This window comes from Homo sapiens, chromosome 6 (assembly GCF_000001405.40).
Source record: "Homo sapiens chromosome 6, GRCh38.p14 Primary Assembly".
In the NCBI taxonomy this organism is placed as follows: Eukaryota; Metazoa; Chordata; class Mammalia; order Primates; family Hominidae; genus Homo; species Homo sapiens.
Genome location: NC_000006.12, coordinates 41,114,613 through 41,128,375, shown reverse-complemented (window position 1 = coordinate 41,128,375; position 13,763 = coordinate 41,114,613). Strand labels below are relative to the sequence as shown.

At 40.4% G+C, this 13,763-nt stretch overlaps 1 pseudogene across 1 annotated transcript in view; it reads right to left on the bottom strand.

Annotated features, from left to right (window-relative positions):
• Nucleotides 1-13,763, bottom strand: part of ADCY10P1 (ADCY10 pseudogene 1) — a 39,802-nt pseudogene that overhangs the window by 12,460 nt on the left and 13,579 nt on the right. Inside the window, exons 7-17 of the transcript NR_026938.2 lie at nt 10,994-11,078; nt 10,711-10,900; nt 10,192-10,247; nt 9,269-9,452; nt 8,913-9,135; nt 7,719-7,853; nt 6,902-7,030; nt 6,433-6,590; nt 5,127-5,399; nt 3,556-3,891; nt 768-831 (exon numbers count right to left, since the gene is read on the bottom strand). The product of NR_026938.2 is annotated as an ADCY10 pseudogene 1 (transcript). The remainder of the gene's footprint in view (nt 1-767; nt 832-3,555; nt 3,892-5,126; nt 5,400-6,432; nt 6,591-6,901; nt 7,031-7,718; nt 7,854-8,912; nt 9,136-9,268; nt 9,453-10,191; nt 10,248-10,710; nt 10,901-10,993; nt 11,079-13,763) is intronic.

Here is a 13,763-nt window from a genome sequence, read left to right as displayed (position 1 = left end):
CTTATAGGTGGGAATTGAACAATGAGAACACATGGACACAGGAAGGGGAACATCACACTCTGGGGACTGTTGTGGGGTGGGGGGAGGGGGGAGGGGGGAGGGATAGCTTTAGGAGATATACCTAATGCTAAATGACGAGTTAATGGGTGCAGCACGCCAGCATGGCACATGTATACATATGTAACTAACCTGCACATTGTGCACGTGTACCCTAAAACTTAAAGTACAATAATAATAAAATAAAATAAAATAAAATAAAATAAAAAGAAATAATTTCCCGCCGGGTGTGGTGGCTCATGCCTGCAATCCCAGCACTTTGGGAGGCTGAGGTGGGCTGATCATGAGGTCAGGAGATGGAGACCATCCTAGCTAACACGGTGAAACCCCATCTCTACTAAAAATACAAAAATTAGCAAAGTGTGGTGGCACATGCCTGTAATCCCAGCTACTCAGGAGGCTGAGGCAGGGGAATCACTTGAATCCGGGAGGCGGAGGTTGCAGTGAGCCAAGATCATGCCATTGCACTCCAGCCTGGGCAACAGAGAGAGACTCCATCTCAAAAAAAAAAAAAAAAAAGAAAGAAAAAAAAAGAAATAATTTCCCTATAGAGAATCAAAAATTGCCTTTCCAAATCTTCTCTGTTAACCTTAATACTGAGTACAAGAGTCACCACTCCTCATCTGCAAGTGACATAAGTGGCTCAGTTTAATGGTCATCTTTCTGTCACTTTTGGTCCCTCCATGTTCACCCTCAGCATCTCTGTCTACCTGCAGCATTCACTTGAGAAGGCCTCCTGAGTTCTGGATGGTTTTGTCTGGAACTGAAAACTATCTGTAGGGAGAAAAAAATATGATTAATTCTCCATGTTTGGATGAACTGAGGACATTTTAAATTCCTGACTACCTTTCTTCTGCAGTTTACAACACAAAATTAGGATGGTAGTTTGTAAATTCCTTCACAACTACTTGTGATTCAAATAATAACTCTCTTCATTCCCAAACCTTTAAACTAGTTCTGATTTTGAAGGAGGTGCTCAGTAGTTTCAAAATGAAGGAAAAATAAAGAATGTGTCTATCCTGGTTTGCTGGCTATCACTAATAGTGGAAATCCTTGAATACATATGGATCAATTTCATGACCAGATCGGAGTGAAGTGTAAAGGCTAAAACCAAGTGAAGAAAATTGTGACAGTATAAGATACCACAGTTCCCTAGTCAGTGACCAAGAGAGCTTTCCAGCTTTACCTAGCAGGCTTTTAATTAGCCTTTATCCTAAAGATTTGACTCTTCTTCTAAAGCTGCCTTCTAATAGATCACAACAGCAAATATTAGGAATGATGTTCAGATGTTACCCATTGGAACTCACAGCATGGATGGTGGGATTGATAAGGAGTCTAAGAGGACTGTTTTAGGGAGGATTTGGGTTAAGTAAAAGGACTGGCTTGCTGATGATAATAATGTTAAATCACAGCTAAGATAACTGAGGATATTGGCAGCTCTACTGCAGTACATAACTCCAAGAGGCACCATCATATCATAGCCTCTGTAACAGTACCCTCTGGAATCAGGCAGTGCCTGGTCTGCAATGGCAATGCACAAAGGCCTTGGGTCTGGGAAGCCTCCTTAAGGTTCTGCTGGGCTGAGAAGGTCTTGAGCCTTTTTACTATAGATGGACCAGGCTGTCTAATCCAAAGCAAAATAAATAAATAAATAAATAAACAAAACTGACCTCTTTTTATTTATTTATTTATTAATTTTTTTGAGACAGAGTCTTGCTCTGTAGCCCAGGATGGAGTGCAGAGGCGCGATCTTGGCTTACTGTAAACTCTGCCTCCCAGGTTCACACCATTCTCCTGCCTCAGCCTCCCGAGTAGCTGGGACTACAGGTGCCTGCCACCACGCTCGGCTAATTTTTTGTATTTTTAGTAGTGATGGGGTTTCACCGTGTTAGCCAGAATGGTCTCGATTTCCTGACCTTGTTATCTGCCTGCCTTGGCCTCCCAAAGTGCTGGGATTACAGGTGTGAACCACTGTACCTGGCCAAAACTGACCTCTTAAAAGCAAAAAAGTCACACAGGAAATATGAACAATAGCACAATTTCTTCACAATACCAGACTTTGGAAAGCACAACAGGTGCAAATGCACATAGAGCTCATCAACCAATGACTAATTGCTCCAAGTCATTGGTCCACCTTCATAGTCATGATGCTATAGCTAGAAGAGGAATTGTATCATACACCAAATCCCTCATTTTAGCCTTTTGCCAACAACTATCTATCATTTTCCACATACCATCCACCCCACCCCCAATACCAAACCAACTCCTCTTTTATCAAAGTAGGGAAAGAGGACTTGGTTGGGTCTTGATAGCTATCTTCAAGTATGGAAGAGAATATAACTATGAAAAATGGGGGAAACTACAACGAGGCAGCTTACATCCTGATGAAAGAAGAAACTTTCTGACAGCTGGAGACAATGAGCTGTTCTGTAATGTAAGCTAACTGAAAAGGCTAAACAAAGATGAATGAACTCATCTGGGATGCAGTTTAACAGGATATGGTGAATATCTATTAACTAATAAAACCTTCTTCAGGTAGCTAACTCCTGCTTATCCCTCTAGATGCAATTCTGACATGATCTACTTCAAAGGAGAATCTTCACTGACATATTTCCCTGGCTGAGTTAATGGCCCCTTCTCATTTTCATTGCTTTTACCATGCCATACTAGAATTCTCTATCTATATGTCTATAGTAACCCCCAAAACAGATAGCTTCAAGAGTGCAAAGACCAAGGCTTATTCACACCATATTCCTTAGTATAGAATCTGATACACATAAGGACTCAATGTGTGTGTACTGAGCTGAAAAATAATAGTAATAATCAAAACAATAGCTAAAGGGTATTGAGCAATCACCACATGTCTGGCACTGTTCAGAGCACACTATATATTTTAACTAATTTAATCCCCACAATGACCCAGTAAAGTTGATATTATTATTTATTAATTAATTTATTTATTTCGAGACAGAGTCTCACTCTGTCACCTAGGCTGGAGTGCAGTGGCGCAGTCTCGGCTCACTGCAACCTCTGGCTCCCAGGCTCAAGCGATTCTCCTGCCTCAGACCCCCAAGTATCTGGGTTTACAGGCGCCTGCCACCATGCCTGGCTAATTTTTGTATTTGTAGTAGCGAGGGGGTTTCACCATGTTGGCCAGGCTGGTCTTGATCTCCTGACCTCAAGTGATCCACCCACCTAAGCCTCTCAAAATGCTGGGATTACAGGTGTAAGCCACTGCACCCAGCCCATGAAGTTGGTATTATTATGTCCCCAATTGATTGAGGTTAAGTAACTTGCCCAAGATTGCCAATCAAAACAAATATGATCTCTAAGGTAGTTTTTAACTCTGAGATTACATTTTTTTTTAATCTCTAGTACTTCAGGAATAAATAAGTGGTTCTTTCTACCTACTTTTCTCCTTTAATCTGATTTCAACTTTTTGATGAAGAACTCCAAGTACACGAATACCCATGTATTCTTTCTGCCTCCTGGGTTTACCTTGGGGAGAAGGCAGCTGCAATTTTTCTGTGATCACTTGTGTTAGCACTGAGCCAGTATCTCTGTAAGTACAGAATCGAGAGGTCCCCTTGGAATTCTTAGTAGAACAAACTGCAAAATGATGAAAGGGGACAAAGTCTCCTCCATGGCAGCTCCCACAGCGGCAGGCCAAAACTTGGAGAAAGCAGGCACATTCAAGGTGCAGAGCTATCTGTTGTTCCTTGGGCCAGAGCTCCCAAGCAGCTGCCCGTAGCAGAGGCACTCCAAATTCCAACACCTCAGTTTGTGGTAGGGATAATTCTTCTTGTAGCCTGAGAAGAGAGGCTGACCCACCATCTGAAATTTAGGAAAATCTAAGTGAGATTTTCCTTTATAATCCTTTGTGCTTCAATATGGCAAACTCCCAAGCACATGGCTGCTAGTGTGTAAGAAAATTCTATTTACAACTCTAAGCTAATATTACTGCCTCCTTTGTATAAAAAATTTTGCACCATTCTAAGAGTGATACTGACCATATCTTGTATAAAGTACAACAGAGAAGAAATGATCAGTGGTACAAAAAAATCCTGTACTTCTATACCACTGATTTCTTTTTTTTTTTTTTGAGACGGAGTCTCGCTCTGTCGCCCAGGCTGGAGTGCAGTGGCGGGATCTCGGCTCACTGCAAGCTCCGCCTCCCGGGTTCACGCCATTCTCCTGCCTCAGCCTCCCAAGTAGCTGGGACTACAGGCGCCCGCCACTACGCCCGGCTAATTTTTTGTATTTTTTAGTAGAGACGGGGTTTCACCGTTTTAGCCGGGATGGTCTCGATCTCCTGACCTCGTGATCCGCCCGCCTCGGCCTCCCAAAGTGCTGGGATTACCACTGATTTCTTAATTGTTTCTCCTAAATTGAGGTTTTACTTCAAATTATTACAAATGTCAAATCATAGGAAATTCTCTGTTCAAATATAGGGCCCAAACATATTTCAAACTCAAAGGGAAAGTATTTGTGAATTCTATGTGCTTTGGGTAGTCCATGCTACCATCTTATTCTTTCATGTGGATAATTCGAGATTGCAAGCTATTTATATCTTGCTTTGTTCATGTCTGTTTCAATGCCACATGTGTTTGTCTTCCTTGTGAGTTTCTAAAATTGGGGATGGTTTATCCTTTTATCTCATTCTTTGCACCTAGAAGCCAATAAAAGATTATGTCAATATTTTCAGAACCAAAAATCAAAACACAAATACCAACACCTGGGTTAAAAAGGCGCTAGAATTCCTGAAATGAAGACAAGTCTGAAAATACAGGATATTTTTTCACTATCCATGGCTCTTTCATGGTTTAAATGATAATTTTCTCTCTGTTTCTTAGCCATAGGCTTTGAGAGAGAGACCCTCAAACTGGGTGTGGTGGTATGCGCCCACTGAGCCCAGGAGTTACAGCCTGGGCAACATAACAAAACTCCATCTTTAAACAAACGAATGAGAGAACCCCTTGATATATGATATTGATGGCCTTTCTGAACACAGATACCCCCACAGGGACTCTTTGTTCAGACCTGAGAAAAAGGGAACAGCCCTTCCTTACCTAACTTTGTCTTCTTCTCTTTGGTTCCATCAATGATGTCGATAGAGGAAGGCATTAATATGGGCTCAGCAGGAAGCTCTTGGCTCTTGTCAGACCAGCAGAGCACATGTATATCCACAAGAGCTCTCAAGACCTGAAGTAGCTTATTTTTATCCCAGCCAGGCAGGAGGTGCTGCAGCAAATCTATATGGAAGGAGTGACCAATGATTGCAGCACACTTGACCAGCAACTGTTCCTCTGGGCTCAGTTGATCCAGTTGGCTTACTGCTATTTCTGCCAAAATCAATCAATCAGTCAATCAGCAGTGAACAAGATTTCTACAAATCTAGAATATATCATGTTGAAAATGTGTACAGTTTTTTTTTTAAATAAAGATGAAAACTTTTCATCTACCCCTGTCTACTGCTCCCACCTCAATCCTCCCTTCTCCACTTAGCCAAACTTCTTTGCTTATGCTAAGAACAACCTCTGCTTGGGAAACTGAATTTGGACTGGGAAAACTGAATGAACTGGTGGCAAGCCACAGATTTGGGCTTCCTTGGGTATAATAATTCTTGTAAAAGGTCATGCCTCTTGCAGAGCCTGAAAGTGATGCCTGTTCGGGCCATTATAAGAGATATGGCCTTCAGTTGGTCCATGAGGCCTCTAAGCACCCATGAGTCATGGTTTCATTCCTCACAGCTGAGCTATTACTTGAGGTTCCAGAGAATAGCCCCTGGAGTGCTATGTAAACTCCTGTAAAAACTCTCACTGAAGAAAAGTACCTGCTGTTGTCCTGTTAGCATCCTGTATTTCCTTCTGAGTAAGAAAAGCCATTGTTAAGTATGGTCTATCATAGTTCTATCAGTGTAAACTGTCTAGTTGAACCTAAAACCTTCAGAGTAAAAAGCTTATAATATAATAGCTAACAGTCATGGAATATTTATTATGTGCCATAATTTATTTAATTTAATCCTCAACTAGCCCCAAGAGGTAGGGACTATTATTATCCTCATTTGACTGATGAGTGAGAAGTTGACTAACTTATTCAAAGTTCCATAGTTGGTTAGTGCAGGAGCCCATGGTGCCCAGGGTTTTCTGACTCTAGAGCCCTGGCCCTTAACTACCATGGTGTCCTGAACTGCTGTTTCATGTGTGTGTCTTATTTTCTCAACAAGACCATACTTTACTTGAAGGTATGCTGTTCATTACAATATTCCTCAAGAAGGCTTAGTATTAGTACCTTGCCCACCAAACACTTGAATTAAATATTAAAATAAGAAAAATTCATTTCTAAGAAGAACATCCCCTCTCCAACTATGCCTACCTGATTCTGATAGTTTCATTATTCTTTATGGCATCAGTCATTCTACTTTGCACTCTTTTTTTATTAAACTCTTGCTATGTGCATAACATTGTATCTTCACTAACACCATGGATTTTCTTAAATCTTAGCAACATCATCTTCTTTGCTTACTGTCTACTCTGGAACAAGAATATGCACAAAGGGAAACTCACGACCTATTTTGTATTAAATAATTGGAAAACTTTTCCAGGTCATCAGTCAGCCCCAAAGAGAACAATAAGCTCGCTTAAGTAAAACCTTACTCAAGTAGCATTACAAGTCTTCAAAGAGCTCTTCAGGCAATGCCAGAACTTATTTCTAGAAGGTGGATTTCTTTTTTAGAAGAAATGAAGCCAGAATGATAATGAGAGACCTATACTCAACTACTCACCAAATCACTAATTGCAATGATATCTGTAATTGGTTCACTTGAAGTCTTCAAGGGACTTACCTTTCAAAAAGGGTAGGAGAAGTACTGTATCCAAGTTCACATCATCCTTGACTGTGCAGACATAAAGTTCCTGGCCTTCCTCAGAGTTGGCAGGAGAAATACTATACATTATGGATTTCATGGCATTGGCTATAAAGAAAACAGGCTATGACTGAGGAAAGCACCATTCTCAGTGACTGTAGTTTTAAAGGCACAAAAATATAATAATTTAGTCAAAAAAAAAAAAAAACCTAAAGGATGAAGATGACTGGAGTGTACCATGGTTTAAAGTGTTTTACCCCACCTGTCTGCCTGTTCTCTAATTTTCTCTTATAAACTAACAACATTCTCTGTACCAATCGGTATCTTACAACTAATCACTATTCCTGTTCACCTTATAACAGCTCTTGCTTCTATTACATCACAGCTCTGGGATGCCTTCTGCTTTTATACATACTTCTACCCTTTATTCCTCTCCTAATTTCCTCCCTTCTCCCATCCCCCATCCAAATCCTCAAGTCATCCTTCTCATCAATAGTGTACAATTCTTTTTTCTGGACTTTCATGTTTATAAATCGTAATTTCCTAGCCCTACCTCTTGGGCTGCTTATAAAAGGAACTATTGTAGATTGATTGGATTAAGTTATCTGAAGCAAATCTTGAGTATTTTCACCCTACTTGTATAAGATTTGTACAGTGTGCTTATCTGGGAAGGCCTAGTGTGGCCCACAATGTTAGCAAGGAAAAGGTATGTACCTCGTAAAGGCCAAGTAATGTCATGTTGGAGAATGAGCTTCAGCAGCTGGACCAGGGTAGAACTCTGGGAAGCTAAGCTTACCTGAGAGGGTTTCCCACTTGCTGTTTTCCTCTTCCTCCTTTTGTAGGACATGAAAGAGCAACACGTCCTTAGAGAGAAGGTCCTGGCATAGGACCTCACAATAAAGTGGGTTTCCAAAGCACCTGTGAAGGGTAGCTGCAGGGAGGTAAGTAAGGGATTGCACATTAGAGATGACCACTTTAGGGGAGCCAACCTCGAAATTCATGAAGGGTTAGAGACAGATATCTATCTCCTTTCCATACCAGACTCTAGTAAAACCCTTAAAGGGTTATGACTAAGGAGTAAATGACAGGTTGAACTTAGCAATGACAGTTTGGGCAGCTCCAGTACCCCAGTTATTCCAAGTATACCAGGATGAATCTGTACATGAGACTTGTCAGAACAAGATGCAACACACATCACATAACATTGTTTCCTGTGCTAGGCTGAGGCACATGAACTATCAGGAACCTGAGAGCCAAAGTGAGATGACTGCTAATCTACGTAGGCAAGGGTTTAGAGTCCCAAGCAAGGCCTATCTTAAGAGAGGGATATGTTGAGGGATTAGACAGATCTTAGTGTTCCATTCCAAAATACTCTGCAGGGTGGGTAGATTAGGAGAAGTGACAGAGGATAAATAAAACAAATTGTGGACCAGTGAATTTTTAGCTTGTTCACTACTGGAAACCCCATAAACCCTAGACCTCTGAAGGCTTTTGAGATCCAGATGCTGGTTTCAAATGATATATTCTGTGGTAAGGGAACAGGAAGGTAGGGTTAAAAAAATAAAGAAATTGGAACCAACTCAAGAACACGTGGATATAATTCCTGGGGATATGCCACTGGTGAGGGCCACCTTAATGTATTTAGTACTTTAAAATATACAATGCAATCTCTCATATACCATCTCCTTTAAAATTCACATAAAAACATACAGTAATATAATTGTTATTTCACAGGTGAAAAAGCTATGACTCAGAGAGGCTAAGTGATTTGCTCTAGGACATAAAACTACTAAGTGTCAGGTTCAATACTAGAATTCACTCTCCTCAAAAGGAGAAAGCCTGAGTTTTGGTGTTGAAAGAATTTCACATCTTGGTCCTACCATATATGTATATGTATATCCTCAGGTTATTAGATTAGAAAACAATCCTAGGTCTGACTATCCACAAAATATAACAGTAACCCAATTCAGAAAGCCACTGCCTTCATTACCTTCACAAATAAGAGGTCACTAAAAAGGCAGTGAAGTTGTTCTTCCACTATCCCACAAAGCTGTCTTTGTAGGCACTCTTGCCGGTAATAGGCTGGGCATGTATCAATCTCAAAGAAGATGGCCATGAGGGTCTGGATGGCATAGAAGCACTGCTTGGAATCTGCTTCCTTCAGCATCAATGGCAACACCCTGGTGAATATGACTATGGTCATCAGGAGTCCCCTGTACGACACATAGGTTACTAACTTCACCGGTCCAAGAATGCTGAATCTAATGACACAAGAGTCTCACTAACAAGAGAAAGAGGCCCCAAGAGAAGTAGGCTCTGACTAAGTCAGAAAGCAGGAGTTTTTACCTATGCCCTTCTTTCTGTGCCAGAAAGTTTATTTCAGCCAACAGCTGGCTTTTTCCATAGCCTTTTCCACCTTCATACAGAACTGCTTGTCCCTTCTTCTGGTGCAAACACCCTTGCTGTGCCATTTGGAAGGCTTCCAATTCTTTCTCCCAGTCTGTAGAGAGACAGGGAGCACCTAACACTCCTGGATAACAATAATCAACATTATTGATTGTTGCAGGCTTTTTGGTAGATACTCTATTGATTTGAATCAATTTGCAAATCTAACTCTCAGAATGGCTTTTTTCCTCCAGAATTCCCAGAAGAATCTCATTCATTGATGGGGCTTCATATCTCTTTCCAAAAAATCAATTCTGAGCTAATATATGCTGGTCTTGAGGGCTTATTCCAGAGCCTAAGTAGTAACATTCAGAAAAATTAGGCACCTTGTGGACACGGGTGTCTCTTAGCTTTTTGTAAAAATTTTCTTAATAACAATTTAGTCTTCAAAATCTGTCACTACTATGTAAAAGTAATGGACTAATAAGTATAGACTAAAATAAATACAAAGATAGGGAATATATAGCGTGGGTGACAACAGTCTTGGTGCTATTTTCACTATTCTAAGGATTATGAATTTTTCTCTAAAGATGATCCACAATAAGCTGTTCCGATCTCAATAGGTAAACTCTGACTTACAAAGATTATTACTAAATGTTGGTGTTTCTCAGGCAGTTATAGGACTTCACCTGAAATTTGAATATTTGACATGGAAAAGAAATAGTAAATCCTCTTCAAAATAAATATAATTTCACTAAGAAGGTTGCTCTCTATTTTTTAATAAAGCTTAAGAGCATTTAGTCTTGCACTGTTTTGTTTTTTAAATCACATTTAGCTGTCTATAACTGAAACAAATATGATTTAAGTTACAAAAGAAAACATACCTAACAAAGGGTGATTTTTGTTTCTCTTTCTTGCCAAATGTCTTTTTCCAAACATTCTGGGAAAAAGAACAAAGTGAAATGTATCTGTTAAAAATAGATTAGGAACAGCTGTCTTCATAAGCAAATACTTTCAGATAATTAAGGAGGTACAGAGTTCTGAATAAAAAGGTTTTTAAAAACTAAAAATTTTGGGGGAGAGGGAGTAAAGAGGGAATATTATTGATTGTTCCAGGCTCGGGGAAGTAAATGAATGGTGAAGTACACAAAGAAAAAAAGAACAAAGAAGATCTGGGTTAGTGACCTATTGCTATTCTCTTCCTGTAGGAGAAAAGGATGTTCATTGAAGAACTAGCTAAGAGCTAAACATAAAAGCTAAATCTCTCAGACACTAAACACTCCTTTTGTGTGTCTTATTCCAGCATGCCAGTACTAGCAGCATCTTTTTTTCCAATTTCATGTAATCAAAAACTTATTGTTCTGTAAGAGATGAGAATGAAACTATCACACAATGATACTCACATACATCTTCTGTGGCCAAGATATTCATATATCTTCCCTGGGTTGGAGATGTTTTTCATCATTTTCTCTGGGAGTTTCTTGAAGTTGTAAGCAGGTAGCATGGATCTTAGATATGTTACCTCATCACAGGACACCAAACCTGGATAAGCAGTTATCATTCTGGCCGCAAGACTCACTTTTGGGCCAATAACTGTGTCAGAAAGACAGGTGGAGAATTTTTGGGCCATGTCTTCCACCTTCCTCCCTTAAGTCACAAAGATAACAGTCCAATGTCCTATTCTACCTGTATATTCGTGTCTTGCTACTGCTCCAACCACGCCACAGAATACTGGTCCATTAGTGATACTGATGGAAACAAATCTAGGGATCTGAAAAGCAACAATGGATAAACATACAGTCAGAAGCCTCCAAGTCAGGCACTAGATCTGCCACTCCCCAGATCCAGAAGTCTAGTTTTAGAGCTTAGAATGGAAAAGGCCAGAGGTTGCTGTCAGTCTATATAACATGAGGGCTACAAAGTACTGAATATTAGGGAGAGAACCAAAAGAAACAGAATGGTTCCCCTAATTCAGGAGTTTTAGTTTTAGTTGGGGGTTATTAGTAAACGATTTTCTTTCTTTTTTTTTCTTTTGAGATAGGGTCTTGCTCTATTGCCCAGGCTGGAGCACATTGGTGTGATCTCAGTTCACTGCAATCTCCGTTTCCTGGGCTCAAGTGATCCTCCCACCTCAGCCTCCCAAGTAGCTGAGACTACAGGCACACACCACCATATCCAACTAATTTTTTTTTTTTTTTTTTTTTGAGAGAGATGGGGTTTCATTATGTTGTCCAGGCTGGTCTCAAACTCCTGGGCTCAAGCAATACACCCGTCTTGGCCTCCCAAAGCACTGGTATTACAGGTGTGAGCCACCACACCTGGCCAGTAAAAGATTTTTAAAAATTTTACATCTGGGCCAGGTGCGGTGCTCACGCCTATAATCCCAGCACTTTGGGAGGCTGAGGTGGGTGGATCACAAGGTCAGGAGATCGAGACCATCCTGGCTAACACTGTGAAACCCTGTCTCTACTAAAAATACAAAAAATTAGCCAGGCATGGTGGTGGGCGCCTGTAGTCCCAGCTACTCGGGAGGCTGAGGCAGGAGAATGGCATGAACCCAGGAGGCGGACCTTGCAGTGAGTGGAAATTGTGCCACTGCACTCCAGCCTGGGCAACAGAGTGAGACTCCATCTCAAAAAAAAAAAAAAAATTTTACATCTGTGGTAAGGCAAATATTTAAAAACCATTTGAGAAAAAAAAATTGAAGGGGTTAATTAACTTTCCCAGAGTTATATAGCAAAAACGAACAGTAAGTCAGAATGAGAATCCAGGCCTCTTGCCTCCTAGACTGATATTATTTCTACTATACCATGTTGTCTCAGATAAAACTGAAAAATGAAAGTAGATAAAGAGATATCAATACAGGATTAATAGATCAAATAATGCTAGAATGTCACAGTTAAGGAGTGATCAGAATGTCAGGACTGCAGACAGAAGGCTTTCTGAAGTAAATTAACATTTGGAACAAATTTTTTTTAATGAGTAATATTTTAAAAATTCATTAATGCATACATACATTCATTTCATTCACTAAGCACTGAGAAGTGTGCATAGTACTGAGTACTTGGCTGGATGTTTAAAATATCCTGCCCTAGAGAAGTTAAGTTTGGGGAGGAGGGTGGTAGGTTTGAGGGAGGGGAAGAGATACTTATATATGTCAGCAAGACAAATACTCCATATTAGAGATTGATATAGCACATTAGCAGAGCAAACAGAACAGATGCACTAATTCACACTGAAGAGTAGATAGAGTATTCTTAAAGGAGAGGACATTTGGTCGGACCCTGAAAGCTGAAGAAATTGCTAAAGTGGGGGAGTGGTACTGTCTGGTGGGAAAAGGTAAAGGCTTTGAGATGCCTTGTGTGGTCATGCAAAACTAAGTACTTCAAGACGGCTAGAGCACAGATGTGAAGAGAGGTGTTTGGATTAGAGAGAGGTAATGGGAGAAGTAGTCTCACCTCTCTAGGGATGGAAGAGTATTAGACATATGAATTATTTTAAAAGAGGACATATACTGTTCTAGGTGAGGCAAAAGCCCAAAGGTGGCAAGGAGCAACTCATACATAACAAAATAAGTAGATTTACTCACTGACATGAAAATTTCATGTGACAGGTAACAAGATATGTAGGTGGAGAAAGATTATGCAATGAGGCATAGTCACATTAAATCTATAAACAATTTTCAGTGGTTCAGACAACATGAGAAGTAGCAATCATGTTAACACTATTACCTCCTAAGCCATCAAAATTATTTGTCTTCCTCAAAGGACAGGATTAAGGGCTCTTGGCTGGGTGCTGTGGCTCATGCCTGTAATCCTAGCACTTTGGGAGGCTGAGGTGGGCGGATCACCTGAGGTCAGGAGTTCAAGAGTCCAGCCTGGCCAACATGGTGAAACCCCATCCCTACTAAAAATACAAAAATTAGTGGGCATGGTGGTGTGTGCCTGTAATCCCAGTTGAGGGATTCTGAGGCAGGAGAATCTCTAGAACCCGGGAGGCAGAAGTTGCAGTGAGCCAAGATTGTGCCACTGCACTCCAGCCTGAGCAACAGAGTGAGACTCCGTCTCAAAAAAAAAAAAAAAAAAAAAAAAAAAAAAAGTCTCTTACCATTCATTCACTCAGCTCACTGCCCCCAGGGTGAAAAAAAGAGACACTTAAGACAAGACCATGCTGTCAGTTCTGCTGCCATATGAAGAGCAAGACTGAAAATCTTTTAAAATTTCATGATGCTTCCTCTGCCTAAATACCCTTTCCCACCTTCTCCATTTGCTGAACTACTTTTCTTCTCAACCTGTCTCAAAAGTCATCTTTATAGTCAAGATTTCTTTGGTACCTCTGTGGAGAATTAACCACTTCTTCCCATAGCACATTGTTGTAACTCCTGTAGCATTTTATTTCTGCACTTTAATTTCGTTGTATTAAAGTTAGTTGTTTACTTAGCTGAACTGGTAAAATC